General features: G+C 40.7%; 1 protein-coding gene across 1 annotated transcript, besides 2 other annotated features; it reads left to right on the forward strand.

The window, feature by feature from the left end:
* Nucleotides 96-145: an enhancer, noted in NCBI's record as "active region_16014". NCBI's record gives its function as "activates an Ori minimal core promoter by ATAC-STARR-seq in GM12878 lymphoblastoid cells {active_cell/tissue: GM12878}" and the evidence as "EXISTENCE:reporter gene assay evidence [ECO:0000049][PMID:35858748]".
* On the forward strand, nt 98-19,565 carry MPHOSPH10 (M-phase phosphoprotein 10). The gene is made up of 11 exons (NM_005791.3): nt 98-218; nt 2,362-3,040; nt 3,412-3,569; nt 4,090-4,261; nt 7,954-8,095; nt 9,259-9,326; nt 10,696-10,833; nt 13,892-14,002; nt 17,463-17,570; nt 18,687-18,917; nt 19,330-19,565. Exons 1-11 carry the CDS (start codon nt 130-132, stop codon nt 19,477-19,479), a joined length of 2,046 nt encoding a protein of 681 aa, NP_005782.1. The 5' UTR covers nt 98-129; the 3' UTR covers nt 19,480-19,565.
* Nucleotides 246-295: an enhancer, noted in NCBI's record as "active region_16015". NCBI's record gives its function as "activates an Ori minimal core promoter by ATAC-STARR-seq in GM12878 lymphoblastoid cells {active_cell/tissue: GM12878}" and the evidence as "EXISTENCE:reporter gene assay evidence [ECO:0000049][PMID:35858748]".
* Nucleotides 19,566-20,269: the final 704 nt, after the last annotated feature.

The following is a 20,269-nucleotide window of genomic DNA, read 5'->3' on the forward strand; positions in this document are numbered from 1 at the left end:
TCCGGAACCTGTGCGCCGCGGAACTTTCGGCTCTGAAATCCAAGTTGCGCTGGGCGCATCTTTGCCGCGCGGTTTCCGGGCGGCTCCCTTCCCTTGCATGCTGCATTGTGTCGGGAGTTGCTGACAGCCATGGCGCCGCAGGTCTGGCGTCGACGGACCCTGGAGCGGTGTCTGACGGAAGTCGGCAAAGCCACGGGTCGGCCCGAGTGCTTCCTCACGTAAGTGCGCAGATCCCGGGCTCGGGGTGCGACCGGGGTCTCACGTGGACGCGGGTTGCAGGCCTCCGGCAAATTGTGGAGCTGGGGGAAGGTAAGGGGAAACGTAAAATCGCTTTTCCCCAAATTTCAGAGTTTATGCTTTCCTAGGCTATCAAAATTTTAAAAACTGTTAAAATTTGTATAGATGGATCTCTCAGTTGAGTGTTACTGAAATCACTCTAACCTCAATTGTTAACACCTAGAAGCTTCCCTTGGGCTTCTTACGCCCCCATCCCTCTACACACAGACTGTTGGTTTCTCCTTCCTCCTATGTGCTCTCAAAGCACTTAGCGCTTAGCATACTTTATTGAAAGTACGAACTTGTCACTTGTCTGTCCACCCCCCATGACTAAGCTTCTTCAGAAATAGAACTTCCATGTCTCTTCCCAACACAAGCGTTTTATATGTATTTTGTTGAAGAATTTAAAATGTGATCTATGAAATTATTACTCATTTATGTTTCAAACCCCAACCTTTCCCTGAGTTCCCAGCTCACAGCAACTACAGACTGAGCTTAGTTTGAATTCCGTAGCACACAACTGGGATATCCACACTGTACAACTTTTAACGATTTTTAAAATTTTGGTACTGTCAAGCATCTCAAATTCACTGCGTCCAAAATAGAGCTGTTGTGTCTGTTTAATAGAATTGTTGTTTCTACCCACCTATACTCTGCCATCCCCTGAAGTCCTTTTCCCATGCTACACCTGTCAAGCGCGTCTGTGTGAAGAGACCACTAAAACAGGCTTTGTGTGAGCCACAAGGCTGTTTATTCACTTGGGTGCAAGTGGGCTGAGTCCGAAAAGAGAGTCAACTAATGGTGATGGGGAAGGGGTTGCTTTATAGGAGTTGGGTAGGTAATGGAAAATTACAGTAAAAGGTGGTTATCTATTAGCAGAGGAGGACGGGGTCACAAGGTACATGGTGGGGAGATCATAAGACTTATTGTCCAGAAGAAGAATGTCACAAGGTCGATTGATCAGTTAAGGTAGGGCAGGGACAAGTCACAATGGAGGAATGTTGTAATGTTGATTAATCAATTAAGGCAGGAACTGGCTGTTTTATTTCTTTTGTGGTTTTTCGGCTGCCCCAGACTTCTTGGCTCCTGCAGGCCATCTGGACATATATGTGCAGGTCACAGGGGTTACAATGGCTGAGCTTCAGCTCAGAGGCCTGACACCACCACCCAAGCCTTCCCTATCTCAGTAAATGGCACTTCTGTCTTTTCAGGTACTCAAACATAAAACTAGGCTGCTACTTTAATGTCTTCATTTTTCTCTATTCTATATCTAATTCTTTAGCAATCCTGTCAGTTCTACCTCCAAACTATACTCAGCATATTCACTGCTCTAACTCCAGTCTAAATCACCATTATCCTTTCGCTGGAATGCTGCATCAACCTTCTAATCACTGTACTTTCCTCCTCCTCCCTCGTCCCTTTCTCCTTCCTTCGTGTAAATCATCATTTCATCCCTCTGCTTAAAATGTTTTCTCTTTACACTTTAAATGACAAATTCTTACTCCTGAACCATGCATAATTTGGCTCCCATCAGTCTCTCCAGCTTCACCCTCTGCCTCCTTCACACTCTAGCCATGGTCACCTGTTTGTTTCCTCAAGCTCACCTCTAGAGGATTTGCATCTTAGAGGATTTCTTCTGCCTGGAATACATGTTTCCCAACCTTTATAAGACTATCTCCTTATCTGTAGGTTTCCTCTCAGATGTGACATCTAAGAGAGGTTTTCCTTGACCACTGTAGCCAAAGCAAATGTTGATCATTGAATGAATAAGTGAACAAATGAATGGAGTGGTATATAATGTAGCAGAATTGATAATTTAAGGTTAATTCACTATATATCTCCAAGCAAATAGATTTATAATGGTTTTCCTGCCTAAAATCTATACAGCCGATTCACAGATACTTGGTTGACAGGTTTTATATATCAGTGTAGCTCATCAGCTTATATGTTGTTGGGGGCCAGAATCTATACTTATACTTCATTCAAATTTTATTTTACAAAAGAGTTGGGTTTTTTTTATTTTTATTAAGAGTGCTGTGAAATTATTACCTGTAATTCTAAATCTCACTTAATTCCTCCCAATAGGATTCAAGAGGGATTGGCATCAAAGTTCACTTCTTTAACAAAAGTGCTTTATGACTTTAATAAAATATTAGAGAATGGTAGGATCCATGGAAGCCCCTTGCAAAAACTTGTGATAGAAAATTTTGATGATGAGCAGATTTGGCAACAACTGGAATTGCAAAATGAACCAATTTTACAATACTTTCAGAATGCAGTTAGTGAAACAATTAATGATGAAGATATCAGTCTTCTCCCAGAGAGTGAAGAACAGGAACGTGAAGAGGATGGTTCAGAGATAGAGGCTGATGACAAGGAGGACCTAGAAGATTTAGAGGAGGAGGAAGTGTCCGACATGGGTAATGATGATCCTGAAATGGGTGAGAGAGCTGAAAACTCAAGCAAATCTGATCTGAGGAAAAGCCCCGTTTTCAGTGATGAGGATTCTGACCTTGACTTTGATATCAGCAAATTGGAACAGCAGAGCAAGGTGCAAAACAAAGGACAGGGAAAACCAAGAGAAAAGTCCATAGTAGATGATAAATTCTTCAAACTCTCTGAAATGGAGGCCTATTTAGAAAACATAGAAAAAGAAGAGGAACGAAAAGATGATAATGATGAGGAGGAGGAAGATATTGATTTTTTTGAAGATATTGATTCTGATGAAGATGAAGGGGGACTGTTTGGAAGTAAAAAACTTAAGGTAAAGTTTTGAGAGAAGAGAGAGCACTTTCCTCCTCAAATTAGCTTTTCTTCTGTTTTTCTAGGAGAGATTTAATTGTAGTTAGAAGATTTAGTGATAAGAAATATTGTGCTCTATCTTATCAGTTATAAATGAATCTGTACTTCCATTCAATTTATGTTCCAGTTGGTCTTATAATTTTGTGGTAGTGTTATTAGTTGCCATTTTCACCTAATAATTATTTAGTTATTAGTTTGGTTATTAGTTATTAGCTTGTAGTGTTATTAAGTCAGAAAGTAATATATACATACAATATACATGCAAATCTATATGCATGTGTTAATATATTTTTCTATCCCTAATTAATAGTTTTTAATATCTTTTTATTTTAGTCAGGTAAAAGTTCCAGAAATCTGAAATACAAAGATTTTTTTGATCCAGTTGAAAGTGATGAAGACATAACAAATGTTCATGATGATGAGCTGGATTCAAACAAAGAAGATGATGAAATTGCTGAAGAAGAAGCAGAAGAACTAAGTATTTCGGAAACGTGAGTATTTTGAACCATCCTTTACATTGTAAGCTGGAATTGCCCAATCATGTGTGTGTACTCGTAGTTATCAAATGTGTTTGTCTTAGCAAGTTCTATTCTCTAATATCAGATATTCTCAAGATAGCCAGAGGAAAGTCTCTGACTGTAAAGGGACATTAGAGATCACTTAATGAAGAAAAATATCTCTGGTAGTAGCAATCAAACCTTCCTTACCAGGAACTTTGATTTGGTTTTGTGTCAATAAAATCCTGTTATTTTTGTGAGATAAGAGATTTGTATTATAGATTGATGAATAATTTATTTTCTATATGTTGGACACTTTTTTTTCTGTTTCTTACATAGCGTTTTACCTAAATAATACCTTTTGTTCCTTAATAACTGAATGATTTTGGAAGTTCTGAGTATTTGGTTGCATTAGGTATATAAAATAAGAACTTTATTAAGGGAAAATTTGTTTCCTTTTGTTTTTCTAATGGAAAGTAGTATATTTCTTTTTATAAGAGTTTTGGTATTGTAGGGATGAAGATGATGACCTTCAAGAAAATGAAGACAATAAACAACATAAAGAAAGCTTGAAAAGAGTGACCTTTGCTTTACCAGATGATGCGGAAACTGAAGATACAGGTGTTTTAAATGTAAAGAAAAATTCTGATGAAGTTAAATCCTCCTTTGAAAAAAGACAGGAAAAGGTAATTAGTAATTTAAGGAATTTTTAATATACTTGATATTAACCATCCTTTGAAAACTATTAACCATCCTTTGAAAACAAATATCTTGGCCAGGTGCAGTGGCTCACGCCTGTAATCCTAACACTTTGGTAGTCCAAAGCAAGAGGATCGCTTGAGCTCAGGAGTTCAGAACCAGCCTAGGCAACATAGTGAGACCTTGTCTCTACCAAAAATACAAAAATTAGCTGGGCATGGTGATGTGTGCCTGTAGTCCAGCTACTCTGGTGTCTGAGGTGGGAGGATCACTTGAGCCTAGGAGGTTGATGCTGCGGTGAGCTAAGATTGCATCACTGCTCTCTAGCCTGGGCGGCAAGCAAGACCTTGTCTTAAAACAAAAAACCAAAAATCTTGCCATATGGAAAGCATCTGATTTGCAAAATCAGTGCCTGCATTTCAGTTTGGGGCCTGTGAGTAAAATAGTTGCTTCTGCTGGGCGTGGTGGCTCATGCCTGTAATCCCAGCACTTTTCGGGGCTGAGGCAGGTGGATCACTTCAGGTCAGGAGTTCGAGACCAGCCTGGCTAACATGGTAAAACCCCATCTCTACTAAAAAAAAAAAAAAGTAGCCAGGTGTGGTGGCGGGCACCTGTAATCCCAGCTAATCGGGAGGCTGAGGCAGGAGAATCCCTTGAACCCAGGAGGCGGAGGTTGCAGTGAGCCGAGATGGTGTCACTGGACTCCAGCCTGGGCGACAGAGTGTGACTCTGTCTCAAAAATAAAAAAATTTTTAAAGATAATTGTTTTTTTCTCTGTCCCTAATATCTTTATATGTATAGCATGTCTCTCCTGATAAAGCTGTCCTGTGAGCATCTTAACTGTTTCCACTGTTTTGGAGGATACCACATATGTCTTTTCTTTTTCTTTTTCTTTTTTTTTTTTTTTTTGAGACAGAGTTTCACTCTTGTCACCCAGGCTGGAGTGCAGTGGCGTGATCTTAGCTCACTGCAACCTCCACCTCCCAGGTTCAATCAATTTTCCTGCCTCAGCCTCCTGAGTAGTTGGGATTACAGATGCCCGCCACCACGCCCAACTAATTTTTTTGTATTTTTAGTAGAGACGGGGTTTCACCATGTTGGCCAGGCTGGTCTGAAGCTCCTGACCTCAGGTGATCCACCCACCTTGGCCTCCCAAAGTGCTGGGATTACAGGCGTGAGCCACTGCGCCCAGCGGATACCACCTATGTCTTTAAGGTGCTCCACAGATTTTTGTGAGTGCCAAATAGCCAGAATTTTAATTTATACCATCACAAACATATCTTTCAAAGTTGGTAAAAATTGTTTCTTTGTGTCATGATTTCAGACAAGTGAAATTTCATTAAATTTTTGTAGATGTAGTCTGGCTCTAATAATTTGGCTCTATCATTTATTTACCTTAAAATTTTTATCACAATAAAAATGAGAATAGGGCCAGGCACAGTGGCTCACACCTGCACTTTGGGAGGCTGAGGAGGGAGGATTGTTTGGAGCCCAGGAATTCGAGACCAACCTGGGCAACAGGGCAAAAGCCCGTCTCCACTAAAGATTAAAAAAGTTAGCTGGGAATGGTAGTGTGTGCCTATAGTCTTTGCTACTCGAGAGGCTGATGGGGGAGGATCTCTTGAGTCCAGGAGTTCAAGGCTGCAGTGAGCTATGATTGCACCACAGCACTCTAGCCTGGGCAACAGAGCTAGAGACTGTCTGAAAAAATTAAAAAAAAAAAGAGAACAGGCAGAGAATGAAAGATACCAAGAATATCAAAAGAATTGTTTTTAAAATCTAAGAATCTGAATTAAATCCATGGTTGTCAGATTGTCCCCAGAAGATAGAGAAATTCTAAGGGAAAAAAAGCACCATTATAAAATATCAATGAGTTAGTATCCTTCCACCCCACTCCTCCCGCCCTTCCCCAACAAATAAAGAAAGAAAGGTTTGGTTTTATTGTGAAATTATATCAGACCTTCAAGTTAAGTTTCAATAAATCAAAAATAATTTATTTCAATTTCCACATATAAAGAATAAAGTAGAACTTTCAACCTTTTTTTTTTTTTTTTTGAAACTGTTAGGTCATGAAAACCCAAACCTGACAGAGGTAGCATTAAAACACACACACACACACACACACACACACACACACACACACACACACAGAGCACAGTCTCATTCATGAACAGTGATGCAAAAATCCTACAGCACAGTGGAAAAATGATGCCACACAACTGCATGAACCTTATTCTCTTGAATCAGTATTAGAAAATCTAGTATGATTCCTGACTGCAAGACATTAAGGAGAAAAAACATATAGTCACCTCCATATATGTCAGAAAGACATTTGATAAAATTCAATATTCATTTCTAATTTTTTTTTTCACTCCTAGCGGAATATAAATACATTTAAGCCAAAAACTGCCATCATGCATGATGCATGCATCATTCTAGAAACATCCCTTTAAGATCAGGAATAAGACAAGATGTCCAGTATTACAATTACCACTGTTGATTAACATTCTTTTAGACGCATAGGCCAGTGTAACTACAAAAGATAAAGATAAGAGATGAGGAAAACTGCCAGGTGCGGTGGCTCATGCCTGTAATCCCAACACTTTGGGAGACCAAGGCAGGAGGATTGCTTGAGCTCAGGAGTTCGAGACCAGCCTGGGCAACATGGTAAGACCTCGTCTCTACAAAAAATACAAAAATTAGTCAGGCGTGGTTGCACGCGCCTGTGGTCCCAGTTATTTGGGAGTCCAAGGTAAGAGGATTGCTTGAGCCTAGGAGGTGGAGGTTGCAGTGAGCTGAGATCACGCAACTGCTCTCCAGCCTAGGCAACTGAGCGAGACTGTCTCAAAAAAAAAAAAAAAAAAAAAAGATTAGGAATACTGCAGATGTATTTATATTCCACTAAGAGTGAAAAATGAAAGTGTTGGTATTTGGAGAGGAAACCGAATGGATAAACTGAATTGATATTAGGAAAATAAGAGAATTCTGTAAGGTAGCTGAAAAGGCTGGCATTTTATACACTGAAGTCATCATTGTTGTCTTTTAAAAGTTAGAGATAATGGCCAGGCATGGTGGCTCACGCCTGTAATCCCAGCACTTGGTGAAACCCCGTCTCTACTAAAAAATACAAAAATTAGCCGGGCGTGGTGGCACACGCCTGTAATTCCAGCTACTCGGGAGGCTGAGGCAGGAGAATTGCTCAGGAGACGGAGGTTGCAGTGAGCTGAGATCACACCACTGCACTCCAGCCTAGGCGACAGAGCGAGACTCTGCTTCAAAAAAATTTTAAAAAAAGAAGTTAGAGTAAGAATTTGAGTTTGGAGTCAAAAGGGTCAGACTCCATCAGATACTAATATTCTAATCAAAGAATTACTTGACTTGCGAATAGATAGATCACTTGAATAGAATAGAGCCCAGAAACAAACTCAAAAGCTTCTGGGGGCGTTTAGTATATTATAAACATGGCATTTTAAATTAATCAGGAAAAGAAATTGTTTGCAGCTCACCCCACCATAGGCAGCAGAAATAGGAAGTCATCGACAGAATAAAAAGATGGCAAGAACAGAATCGTAGAACAGTACGTTTCTTGCTTTCCCACTTTTTAAATTATTTTTTGCTTTTACACAAATATAAGATTTTATTTTCTAAATGTATACTAGTTATTTTATCTCTTTCTTAGATGAATGAAAAAATTGCATCTTTAGAAAAAGAGTTGTTAGAAAAAAAGCCGTGGCAGCTTCAGGGGGAAGTGACAGCACAGAAGAGGCCAGAGAACAGCCTCCTGGAGGAGACCCTACACTTTGACCATGCTGTCCGGATGGGTATGGTGCCCTCTTCTGTAGTTTTCATGTCTGTGCTTTTTCCATGGTTCCATTTCATACAAAGATTTGGGGTGGTGTTTCTTTTCCCTCAACTTTTTATTTTAAAAACTTGTAAACACATGGCTTGGCATGGTAGCTCACACCTGTAATCCCGGCACTTTGGGAGGCCGAGGCAGACGGATCACCTGAGGTCAGGAGTTTGAGACCAGCCTGGCCAACATGGTGAAACCCCGTCTCTACTAAAAATACAAAAATCAGCCAGATACGGTGGCAGATTTCAGAATCCCATCTACTCGGAAGGCTGAGGCAGGAGAATTGCTTGAACCCAGAAAGGGGAGGTTGCAGTGAGCCAAGGTTGTGCCAGTGTGCTCCAGCGTGGGCAGCCTGGGCAACAGAGCGACACTCTGTCAAAAAAGAAAAAATCAACTTATAAACACAGAAGAGTTGAAAAAATACTACAGTGAACACCTATATGCTATTCAATTGGATTCACCAGTTACCATTTTGTTATATTTGCTTTCTCTCCCTAGCATATGTAAGATTGTATATGTGCCCTTTTTTTAAGTAAGTTGCCAATCTCATGGCACTTCACTTTTAAGTACTTTTGCAGATATCGTCTAAGAACTAGGACATTCTCCTATGTAATCACAGTACCATTAATCCACCCAAAAAATTTAACAATACGCTAATGATACCTAATGTATAGTTTGTAATCAGCTTTCTTGTAGTAATCTGTTTTGAAGGCTTGCATCCTGTCATGGTCCACTGATTAAATTTTGAACTTCAACCTGAAACTGTGGTCATCTCATTGACTTCTTTCTTGTACCCATTACATCAAAATGAGTTTTCATTTTATTTCAATGGAAGAGAGAATGGAAAAGAGGGGAAGAGTCCCTGGGTACCTTGGGTAAAGTATTAGCACTTACTACCATATGTATCCTAGTTTTGTGGTTTTCAAACTTCAGGGAGCATCACAAGGCTTGTTAAAGCACAGATAGCTGTCCCTCTTCCCCACTTTCTGATTCAGGAAGTATGGGGGTGGCCCAGGAATTTGCATTTCTAACAAGTTCCCACGTGTTGCTGATGCTGTGGGTCCAAGGACTGCACTGAATCAATGGTCTAGTGGATATCTACCTAATGAATAAACGTTGTATATCCTTTAGCACCTGTGATTACAGAGGAAACCACCCTTCAACTGGAAGATATCATTAAACAGAGGATAAGAGATCAGGTCAGTAAGAATTAAATTTAACTTAATCAAAATGTCACCAAGATTTTTAGAAATAATGTGAGAGTACTTTGAGAGTAGGACTATTGCTTTTTATTTTCACTTAGTGTTCACAAACCTTAAATCTAGGCTACCTAGTCAGCTTTTGTTGTGTGAGGTACTGCTCTTCAGTAGTATCCAGGAAAGACGAGTATTGTGCCTGAGAGGAGCAAGAAGCCATTATCCTTTCTCGTGAGTCTTGCTGACCTTTTGGGCGGTGCTCAGTGAAGCTGGTGGCTGACCTGTGATGGTTGCACCCAGAACCCTTGGCTTAGGCACAGTATCTGGTGTGGTAAATTATTCAGTATATATGTCCTAGTCTTTTTTCTGTTACTTATAACAGAATATCTGAAGCTGGGTGACTTAAAAGGAATACAGTTATGGAGGCTGAGAAGTCCAAGGTCGAGGGGCCTTCTTACCAGTGGGGATTCCGCAGAGTCCCAAGGTGGTGCAGGGCATCACATGGTGAAAGGGCTGAGCATGCTAAGATGCTGGCTCAGGTGTCTCTTGCTCTTCTTAAGAGCCACCATTCCCCCACTGATGATAACCCATTAATCCATAAATGCAACTGCCATTCATGAGGGCAAAACCCTGGTGATCCAGTCACGTCCTAGAAGGCCCCACATCTGAGTGTTGCCACATCAGGGATTAAGTTTCCACATGAGTTTTGGAGGGGACATTCAAACCCTAGCATTGTGGTAGTTCTACAATTTTAAAACCATTTCTCAATGGTGTATTTTTTTCAAATGTTAAAAACCTAGTGGTTTTTGTTGAAGAATTGATCTGATTTTGTAAACTTAGAATAAAACTTAGATATATGGCATGTACAGTAAGAGATGGCCTTATAACATGTGTATAATGTTTGCCTACACTTGTGGGTCTAAAATAGAAAGGGTTTAAAGGGTGAGTATCATGTGCAGAACATCTTAAAATTTGAAATGAAACATGATAAACTAACTCAAGGCTTGACTTTTAAACAAACTGTGATGGGGAAATGTGGAATTAAAGTTGGTAACCAGGTAGGAAGACTCATTTAAAACAGAAAAAGATATTTGAGTAATGGTTTCTTTGCTTTCCTAATGTTTATTCTTTGTGACTTGAATAGTTATTTCAGGAGTTGAAAATTTTCTTTTTGCTATAATTTGCTTACTCTGTAATAAGTAATAATAAATATTTATTATAACAATGATATAATTTACTATTAATATATTAATGATAATTTATTAATATATTGATAATATTTATTATAATAATATTCCAGAGGAAGATTCTTAAGTGAACCTAGAAATAAATTGTAGGTTTTGTTATGTTCTACCTGCACTTTATGTTTCAGGCTTGGGATGATGTAGTACGTAAAGAAAAACCTAAAGAGGATGCATATGAATATAAAAAGCGTTTAACCTTAGACCATGAGAAGAGTAAATTGAGCCTTGCTGAAATTTATGAACAGGAGTACATCAAACTCAACCAGGTGAGGAAGCCTGTAAGGCCAAGCCATTATTATTAAAGAAATAGAAGTAGAGAACTAGGCTTTTTGTGACTGTTGAAATCGTGAAACAGAAATCTTGAGCTCTTTGGCTACCTCATGTAAGTATGAGACAGAGCATGCTAGGAATAGAAGGGTTCTAATATTCCCGCTGGATGTGAGGGGTTGAGGGGGGTTGCTTTGCAATTAGACTTTGGTCACCTGATACTTTTACAACTCATTAACTTTCTAGCAATTATGGTGGTGCTACAACTTTAAAAGCATTTCTCATTGATATTTTGAAGTAACTGATATATTTTACATGATTATGAATTCATTCTGATTTTTAGGTCTGTTTTTTCTTTCACTTAACTAAAATCTCTGGGCTGGGTATGGTGGCTCACATCTGTAATCCCAGCACTTTGGGAGGCTGAGGCGGGCGGATTGCTTGAGGTCAGGAGTTTTAGACCTGCCTGGCCAACATAGTGAAACCCCATCTCTACTAAAAATACGAAAAAATTAGACGGGCGTGGTGGCATGTGCCTGTAATCCTAGTTACTTGGGAGGCCGAGGCAGGGGAATTGCTTGAACCAGGGAAGTGGAGGTTGCAGTGAGCCCAGATCGCGCCACTGCTCTCCAGCCTGGGCGACAGAGTGAGACTCCATCTCAAAAAAAGAAAGAAAGAAAGGAAGAAATCGCTGGTTAAATAATAGGACAAGGTCCTATTCCTAGGAATATTATATGCTGATATAATAATCGAATTATTCCTTCACATTTGATTTATTGGGAATGTGGGTACTTAGGGATCAGATGGCATTTTTCTTCTGCAAAAGCCATTTACGATTCCCACCAGATTTTGTTAATGAATGCCCCTCAGTTAGCAACAGCAAATTGCCCTGATGCCACTGTGAAACTGAAGAACTGAAAAGATTTGAATTAAAATTCTTCCTGGCTGCCTTGCAATCCAAGGTGGTAGCTGAAGGAGGATGTGTACAGTTTCATTTGAATCTTTGAGGAGATTGGGTAGATACAGAAGGTATTTGATGACCACGAGAATTAAAAATTAGATAGGTAATGCAATAGCTTATGCCAGCTCTAAATGTTAGTTTCATTTCTCTCTTAGAAGTCAACAGCCAGTTCAGAAGTTTTTGAGGATGGACTTGGAGTTCTAGTAGCTAGGCTAGTTCTAGAAGTGAAATGATGGTAAACAGCACATGTAGGACCCTTTACTCACATTTGTGTATGTAATGTGGCTCAGAAAAATGCTGTGTAGCCAATATATAGCTACATATTTGATTTTACAGATATTGTTACCTAGAATGAGGTGAAAGGACATGTTTAGGATTTTTTAAAGTGTGAGGTACGTTAAAATAGTAAGCAGTAGTAGCGTGATGCCTGACTATGGCTGGAAGGTGGGTGCTGATGATGGACATTGGAAACAGACCTGAATGCATCTCTGTCATCAGGATCAGGAGGCAAAGAGCCTATCGTTTCCTAGTTCTGGTGGGTTTCTTTTTTTCATGTCTTAATAACAAACAAACAAAAAGCCCTCTTAGGCATTTAGAATAAGCATTTGGGGCCAAAGGGGACAGAGAGAGAAGCATGAAATTTTCTTTTTCTCTTCAGTAGAATTAAAATTGCTGTCAGTTTTTTCAATGTGATTTGTGAGAATAAATCTTTAACACATTACATGTAAATAAAAGAACAAAAAAGTCCCTACCATCCAAATGGGTATTTGGATAATTTTATGAAGTCTATATTAACACTTTACTTCTTTTTTTTCTTTTTTTTTTTTTTGAGACGGAGTCTTGCTCGGTTGCCAGGCTGGAGTGCAGTGGCGTGATCTAAGCTCACTGCAACGTCTGCCTCCCGGGTCCAAGCAATTCCCCTGCCTCAGCCTCCTGAGTAACAGGCACATGCCACCAAGCCCGTCTAATTTTTTGTATTTTAGTAGAGACAGGGTTTCATTATGTTAGCCAGGATGGTCTCGATCTCCTGACCTCGTGATCCTCCCGCCTCGGCCTCCCAAAGTGCTGGGATTACAAGCATGAGCCACCGCGCCCAGCCAGCCACCATGCTGGGCCATTTTTTTTCTTTTTAATTGATGTGAGATTTATATAACATAAAATGAACCACTTAGTGAACAAATTGGGAGCATTTAGGACAGTGTTATGTAACTACTAGCTCTCTCTAGTTCTAAAACATTTTTATCAGCCCACAATAAAGCCCCATACGCATTAAGCAGTTGCTACCCTTTCCTCACTTGCCCCAGCCCCAACAAACCCCAGTCTGCATTCTATCTCTGTGGATTGGCCTATTTTGAGTATTTGATATAAATGGAACCATACCATATGTGGCCTTCCATTTCTGACCTCTTTCAGTTAGTGTTGTGTTTTCAAGACTGGCATTTGTCAGTGCTTCATTTCTTTTTTATGGTTACACGGTATTCCGTTGTGTGTATTTACCACAGTTTATCTGCTTATCCACTGGTGGACATTCAGGCTGTTTCCACCTTTTGACTGTTAATAGTGCCATGTACATGTATTTGTTTGAGTATCTATTTTTAATCCTCCTGGTTGTACACCTAGGAGTGGCATTGCTGGGTCAGATGGTAATTCTCTGTGTAGCTTTTTGAAGACCTGCCAAGCTTGTTGCCACTGTGGCCGCATCATTTTACATTCCTACCTATCAACAATGCACAAGGGTTCCAGTTTCTCCATCCTTGCCAACACTTGTTATCACTTGCTATTTTCCTTTTAAAAACAACTGTAGCCATCTTAGGAATAGCTTAGTTTTTGACAGAAGTAAATACCAAGGTAATTAAATTTTTAAGTTCTGAGTATTAGAGGTAATGGTTACTGTAGCTCCTAAAATGCACATCACATCTCTGGTAGGTGCTGGAACCCTCATGGTACTGCTGCTTTTAATTTTGCTTTTGGAATGTTTCTTTGTAGCTGAAGCTTTAGTGATGAGAAGTTAGAAATACTCTCATTGACCTTTAGTGTTTTGTCCTGTGATATATATCAAGTCGCTTAGTTTGACATTGTTGAACTTATTTCCTAAGCAAAAAACAGCAGAAGAAGAAAATCCAGAACATGTAGAAATTCAGAAGATGATGGATTCCCTCTTCTTAAAATTGGATGCCCTCTCAAACTTCCACTTTATCCCTAAACCGGTAAGTGTGTTAACAGTTCAGTGTGTAGCTAGAGCAGGGTGACCTTCATAGCTTTGATCCTTTGTGAGACTAGCTCTTTATTTTGTTTCAGGATACAAACTTGTAGTTTGCTGTAAATTCCAGGCAGGGTCTCCATGAGGAAAGCTCACTTCTGGTCCCATGACAGTTCTGGCTCTACCCAGATCTTCAGTGAGCCCCTGCCAGCTGGGGCTGGGCATGGTCAGGCATCATGCTAGTACTGCCTCTTACTGTTTTAACTTACCTCACACTTTAAAAGATCCTCAGCCGTAGCCACAGGGACTCCTCCTTTCCCTACCCTCTCAGTCTTCTGTTGCATTTTCATTGTATAATGGGTTTGGAGATGTATGGATATCTATACCAGCATTTATGGAGTATCTGCTATGTGTCATATTAGGTTCTTTACATACACTAACACTTAATGCACACAACACTGAGGCAGGTACTATAGTTTCCATTTCACAGGGGAGAAAACCAAGGTTTAGGAGGTGGGAGAGTGAGAACTAACTCTGGGCCCAGCTGTCTCCGCATGATGTTCCTTCACCAGGCCCAGCCCTCTCAAATGCTCCTCCCCTGTCTGTCTGTCACCCAGACTTGGCTCTACCTGTCTATTCCTTGGAGCCTCATCTCCTGCTTACCAGCTTCTGTGAACCCATAAAACATGCTTGTACCATCCTTTGGTACTTGTTCACCTGTTGCCCTTTGGTGCCTGTGTTGTTGTCTGAAATGGAATGTCATGAATTAAAGACTAGTCTAGAAGTCAGAACCTGAGCTGAGTTCTGCTCCTAACTAGCTTTATGATGCAGGCAATCGCTTTACGTTTCATTTGTACCGAAGAGCTAATCTCCAAGATCCTTTATTATTAGTTGATGGCTAGGTGATTCCCATGCAAATATTTTATCTTCTCAGACAGTAAGCTTTTTTAACCTGGTTGTTTTTTTTTGTTTGTTTGGTTTTTTTTTTGGTATATATGTATGCTTTTAATCCAGTTGTAATTACATGCAAGTAAGTTCTTGATGGCAGGAACCATCTTTAGATTCCCAAAGTCCCTGCTATGGGCTGTGTAAAATAAACAGGTGAAGAGATGAGTGGAATTTCTCAACTCCTCTTGTCCAGCAGGTCTTACTGAGATGAAGGACGTGGGCCTTTCTGGGCCTTACCTGTGTGATCTGGCTCTTCCCACCCCTTTGGTCTCCCTTGGCTTGCTACCCCCACCCCCACTGATCTTCTGATTCCTTGAGCAGGCCAAGTCCCTTGCGCTTTCTCACTGTGCTCTTCCCCTGGCCCAGTAGGCTGCACTTCCTTTTTGGCATGGCTGGCTCCTTATTGCCCAGGCTAGACGCCTTTCCCTCCTTGCAGATGTTCCTTGGCTCCTTACCTAGGGTAGACTCCCCTTCCCACCTTGCTGCATGTCTCACCACTTGGCTCCTTTTCCTCATAGCTGCATTGCACATTTGCAGTCATTCGCTAGTTGTTCATTGCTCTCTACTTGTCTTCAGGCAGCACGAAATGCATCTACTGTTCCACTCTGTTCCTCGCACTAGCTAGGATCTAACACACGGAAGCCTTTAGACATTCCTTGGAATACTGGGAAGTGAAGGAGAAGTGAATGTATATGTGTCTATGTGCCCAAATGAAAAGCCTTTCTTTTTTCCCTTAAGAAATGTAGAATTGCTAGTGTAGGTTCCCCTTGATATTACTTTTTTCATGTTCAGGTTGGTATTTCACACCATCTCTGTAGACTCCATTTACTAATCACAGCCATTATTTTTTGTGGCTTTTTTTTTTTTTTTTTTTGAGACAGAATCTCACTGTGTTGCCCAGGCTGGAGTGCAGTGGCATGATCTTGGCTCACTGCAACCTCTGCCTCCCAAGTTTAAGCGATTCTCCTGCCTCGGCCTCCCGAGTAGCTGGGACTACAGGCATGCACCACCACGGCTGGCTAATTTTTTTGTATTTTTAGTAGAGACGGGGTTTCACCATGTTAGCCAGGCTGGTCTCAAACTCCTGACCTCAAATGATCTGCCCACCTTGGCCTCCCAAAGTGCTGGGATTACAGGCGTGAGTTACCGTGCCCAGCATTTTGTGGCTTTTTGGACTGTCTTCTTTTTCTCCATATTTCTCTTTAAACACTAGAATGGAACACAGTGTTTTTAATAACAGTTGAACAGTGGTCCAGTGGAAGAAATGATTTCTTTCACACTCTCATTTTTCTCTCACTTAGAATCCAGGATCCTATTGTGTTTATGGCTTGTTTTTGTTCTTTGTGAAGTTTCCTTGAGCAAATAACTCCATGGACAGGATGGTGATAAGGAAGAAAGAATGCTAATGTAACTGCAATATATAGTCACCATTTTAGTTGCAGGATCAGTATGAAACCTGTTTTAATTACTGGATTTCTTGGGTAGTTCTTTCAAAAAAAGACAAAAATCTGAAGCAGATGGTCCTTCAATTAACATTGCATTCTTTCCCCCTTTTTGTAATTGATAGCTTTGATTTATTTTGATACTGTTTGAGTTTTTCAGTATTATTTCATATTTGTTTATAGAGATGTTTTCAGTAGTTGAAAGATGAGGAAATTTATCAGTAGTCTATTTTTGACTCTTGTTCCCGTAAGCATCTTTCCTTGCATCTTTTTCCATATACTTCTTAGAGCTAGCTTTTTTTTCTGTAAGCAAAGTCAAGATAATATTAATAGAGATCAGTAAATCTTACCAAACAGCATTAATGGTTGTTTGAGAATGTCCACATGCATGGTAGATAGGAATAGTTGAGGAAGAGATGGAAGAACTGATGTTTGAAGATGGCAGAAATGTTATGTAAAAATGTAGAAAACGCCGGGTGTGGTGGCTCATGCCTGTAATCCCAGCACTTTGGGAGGCCGAGGCGGGCAGATCACGAGGTCAGGAGATCCAGATCATCCTGGCTAACACGGTGAAACCCCATCTCTACTAAAAATACAAAAAATTAGCCAGGTGTGATGGCAGGCGCCTGTAGTCCCAGCTACTCGGGAGGCTGAGGCAGGAGAATGGCATGAACCCTTAAGAGGGAGCTTGCAGTGAGCCGAGATAGCGCCAGTGCACTCCAGCCTGGGCAACAGAGCAAGGCTCTGTCTCAAAAGAAAAAAAAAAAGAAAAAGAAATACATGCTGTTGGAATGGTTTTGAGACAGAAAACCCTAAAATACCCAGGTCTCTGGGATCCTGAAGCAGTGCTGCCCCTCAGCACTGCCGTCATGCCAGTCCACTTAGGACTTTGGCTGTCACCATATCTAACATTTTAAATAGTCTCCATTAGGTTTGCTGACTTTCAAGCAAGTGAAAAAAAGATAATCTCCATAAAGTATTTTATATATTATACTTTAAGTTAATAGGTTCACAGTTCACACATTTTGTGTTAGAGTCCCTTCTGGCTTCCCATTGAATGTATTATCTCTTTTCTAGCCTGTACCAGAGATTAAAGTTGTGTCAAATCTGCCAGCCATAACCATGGAGGAAGTAGCCCCAGTGAGTGTTAGTGATGCAGCTCTCCTGGCCCCAGAGGAGATCAAGGTAAGAAGCCAATGTTGAAACCTTAAATGTCTGTTACAAGTTAGTTGATCATAGCCAGACTCCATTTATTTGACGTCATTTGCCTTGCACTTGTAGTTCTTATTCCAATGTATCTCAGCAGTTTCTAAGTATAAGCAAACTAGTAATGTTATAATATTCAAATACCAGTCTCCTATATTCTGGCTTTATTATGAGGTACAGGTTTGAGAGTTACTGTAAGAGCAGTTTTAAAATAGCTAGTATCAATATCTTATTATAATCCAATCTGAATACTAGCAGTGATGTTAAGTTGAAAACAAATGGCTTGCATTGCATATATACTAGCAATAGTTTAGTGTCAGCATTTCCCCCTTATTTTATTCATGTAATGCTAATTAGTAATGGAATCTGAATCTAGAATCGAGCATTTGGTTATCAGAAGAGGCTAGATATATCAAATGCAGCAATCCCTGCCATGTGAACATTGAAGCTTATGCCTTACACAGTAATAATGGTTTCTGCCAGGTGCTCATCTTCCTGGCTGGCTTAGCAGCAGGGCCTTCTTTTTCCCTCCTCACTTGATTTGCTACACCTACACTCACCCCTTCTGTCTGAGCCTCTGCCACCTCAGTGCAGGTGACAGCCCTGGCAGGATAGGCTGGCAGCTGAGGAGAAAAGAGATAGAATTGATCCTCACTAGAGAGATGTTTCCCTTCCCTTCCTCTGTTCCTTGGTCTCTGCCCTCTGGCCTCAGTCCAGTTGCTGTCATTAGCAGCTCAGAGCTGAGGCTGCCTCTGGCATGTCCCTGAAGCCCATTGGAATCTAAATGCTGTGGAGGGCTGGCTCCTCTTGTGCTGTTAGGTTGAGAACCCAACTCTCCATGTTGCCTTCTTGTGAATTAGTTTGGGAACTGAACCGTCACTATAAGAGTCTGTGCCTGTCAAAGAATGCATTTCAGGTTTTAAAGAGCTGAGTTACCAACGCTCATTGGAATGCAGGTGGGGATTGCTCTGCATCTTTGTGCATTTGGCCACAGATGCACAGCCTGCTTGCTGGCTACCCTGCAGTTTCTTCCATTCCAGTTTCCTAGTTGTTAAACTTGATGAATGAATATGTTGGTGGTTATTTTTTTAATAGGAGAAAAATAAAGCTGGAGATATAAAAACAGCTGCTGAAAAAACAGCTACAGACAAGAAACGAGAGCGAAGGAAAAAGAAATATCAAAAGCGTATGAAAATAAAAGAGAAGGAGAAGCGGAGAAAACTGCTTGAAAAGAGCAGTGTAGATCAAGCAGGGAAATACAGCAAAACAGTAGCTTCGGAGAAGTTAAAACAGCTGACCAAAACTGGCAAAGCTTCCTTCATAAAGGTAAGGACAAGGGAAAGAAAACTGCTCAAGGGGACCTTTGTGGGGGAAGTGGATAGCAAGTGCTGGGTGACTGGAATGTCTGAGCCAGCTGACAGCCCACCTGCGGGATAGAGATGCATGATGCTGACTGGCTGGAATCGCAACCTTTAATGTTCTAGAATTTTTCATGTAGGGTCCTCACAATAACCTGGGTCCTGGCAGCAGCTTGTCTTCCACTCCTTTCTCTCTTAGATTATAAGAACATTGTAGCAGTGCAGAATACCTCTATGCTAACTGATTCAGTTTTCTGTAATTCTAGTCCTTTTTCATATTTATGGTTGCATACATTGTTGTAATGGTGATGTACTATTTTTGGCTTTTTTCACTTATAAGTACATTTTACAGCATAAGCATGTGGTGTTTTTAATTGCAGGATGAAGGTAAAGACAAGGCCTTAAAGTCCTCTCAAGCATTCTTTTCTAAATTACAAGATCAAGTAAAAATGCAAATCAATGATGCAAAGAAAACAGAAAAGAAAAAGAAGAAAAGACAGGATATTTCTGTTCATAAATTAAAGCTGTAATATATTTTGAATATAATGTAAATATTAATGTGTAAGCTTATATTGTGTCATTGTTCTGTTTTATAATAAAATTCTTGAGAACCTTCCTTTGCATCGATGACAGATATTTGAGGGTTCCATAGTGTGAAAAGACAAACCCCTAACCATTTGCAAAGCCCTTCCGGTTTTCACTGGTATGAAGCAGGACCTGGCTCCTCCCCAGGCCCTTCCTGTTCAGGCACTGCCTGAGCTGATCCTGCTGTGCTCTTGCCGTGGCCCAGGCCTGTGTGAAGGCCAGGCCAGCTTGTCCACATGGGCTGGTGAGCAAGCACTGGCCTGCAGGCTGTGAAGAGGACAGAGCCAGCCAACCCCCTCACAAGCAGCTGTCTACAGCAGAGGTCCTCACTCTTTGGGCTCTTGATTTCCTTCTCCCATTGCCCTGTCATTTCATAAAACAGTAGCATTTTCATGCCTGTGCCTTCCTTCCCCTTTGGGAAATGATCTCATGTCATCTGAACAAAGGTTTAATGTAGGCTGTAGAGCACTATCCACAATCAGCTGCAGAGGACAGGTATGATGGAGAAGTGAATCTAGAAGCAACAGAAGCTCCATACAGCCAGTAATGTAAACTGCAGTCTGCAGAGTGTTCTGTGACCACCAGGTGCTCATTGTTTCAACCTCCCCATCCAGGGAAAAATGCCTTTTGTCTGATAGGCTCTCATACTGATTTGATGGAAATGCAGTAAGCCTTAGTCCAGATGGGTAGAGAATGTGGACTAAGATTCCACCAAAGCAACAGGTGAAGCCCTTC

This window comes from Homo sapiens, chromosome 2 (assembly GCF_000001405.40).
Source record: "Homo sapiens chromosome 2, GRCh38.p14 Primary Assembly".
NCBI classification, from domain to species: Eukaryota; Metazoa; Chordata; class Mammalia; order Primates; family Hominidae; genus Homo; species Homo sapiens.

Excerpts from the sequence above, each read along its gene's own strand:
- MPHOSPH10 (NM_005791.3), top strand. The coding sequence starts at position 130 with ATGGCGCCGCAGGTCTGGCGTCGACGGACCCTGGAGCGGTGTCTGACG. Across the intron at positions 3,570-4,089 it reads GAACTAAGTATTTCGGAAAC|GGATGAAGATGATGACCTTC; the intron begins GTGAGTATTTTG and ends TTGGTATTGTAG. Across the intron at positions 14,003-17,462 it reads TCCACTTTATCCCTAAACCG|CCTGTACCAGAGATTAAAGT; the intron begins GTAAGTGTGTTA and ends TCTCTTTTCTAG.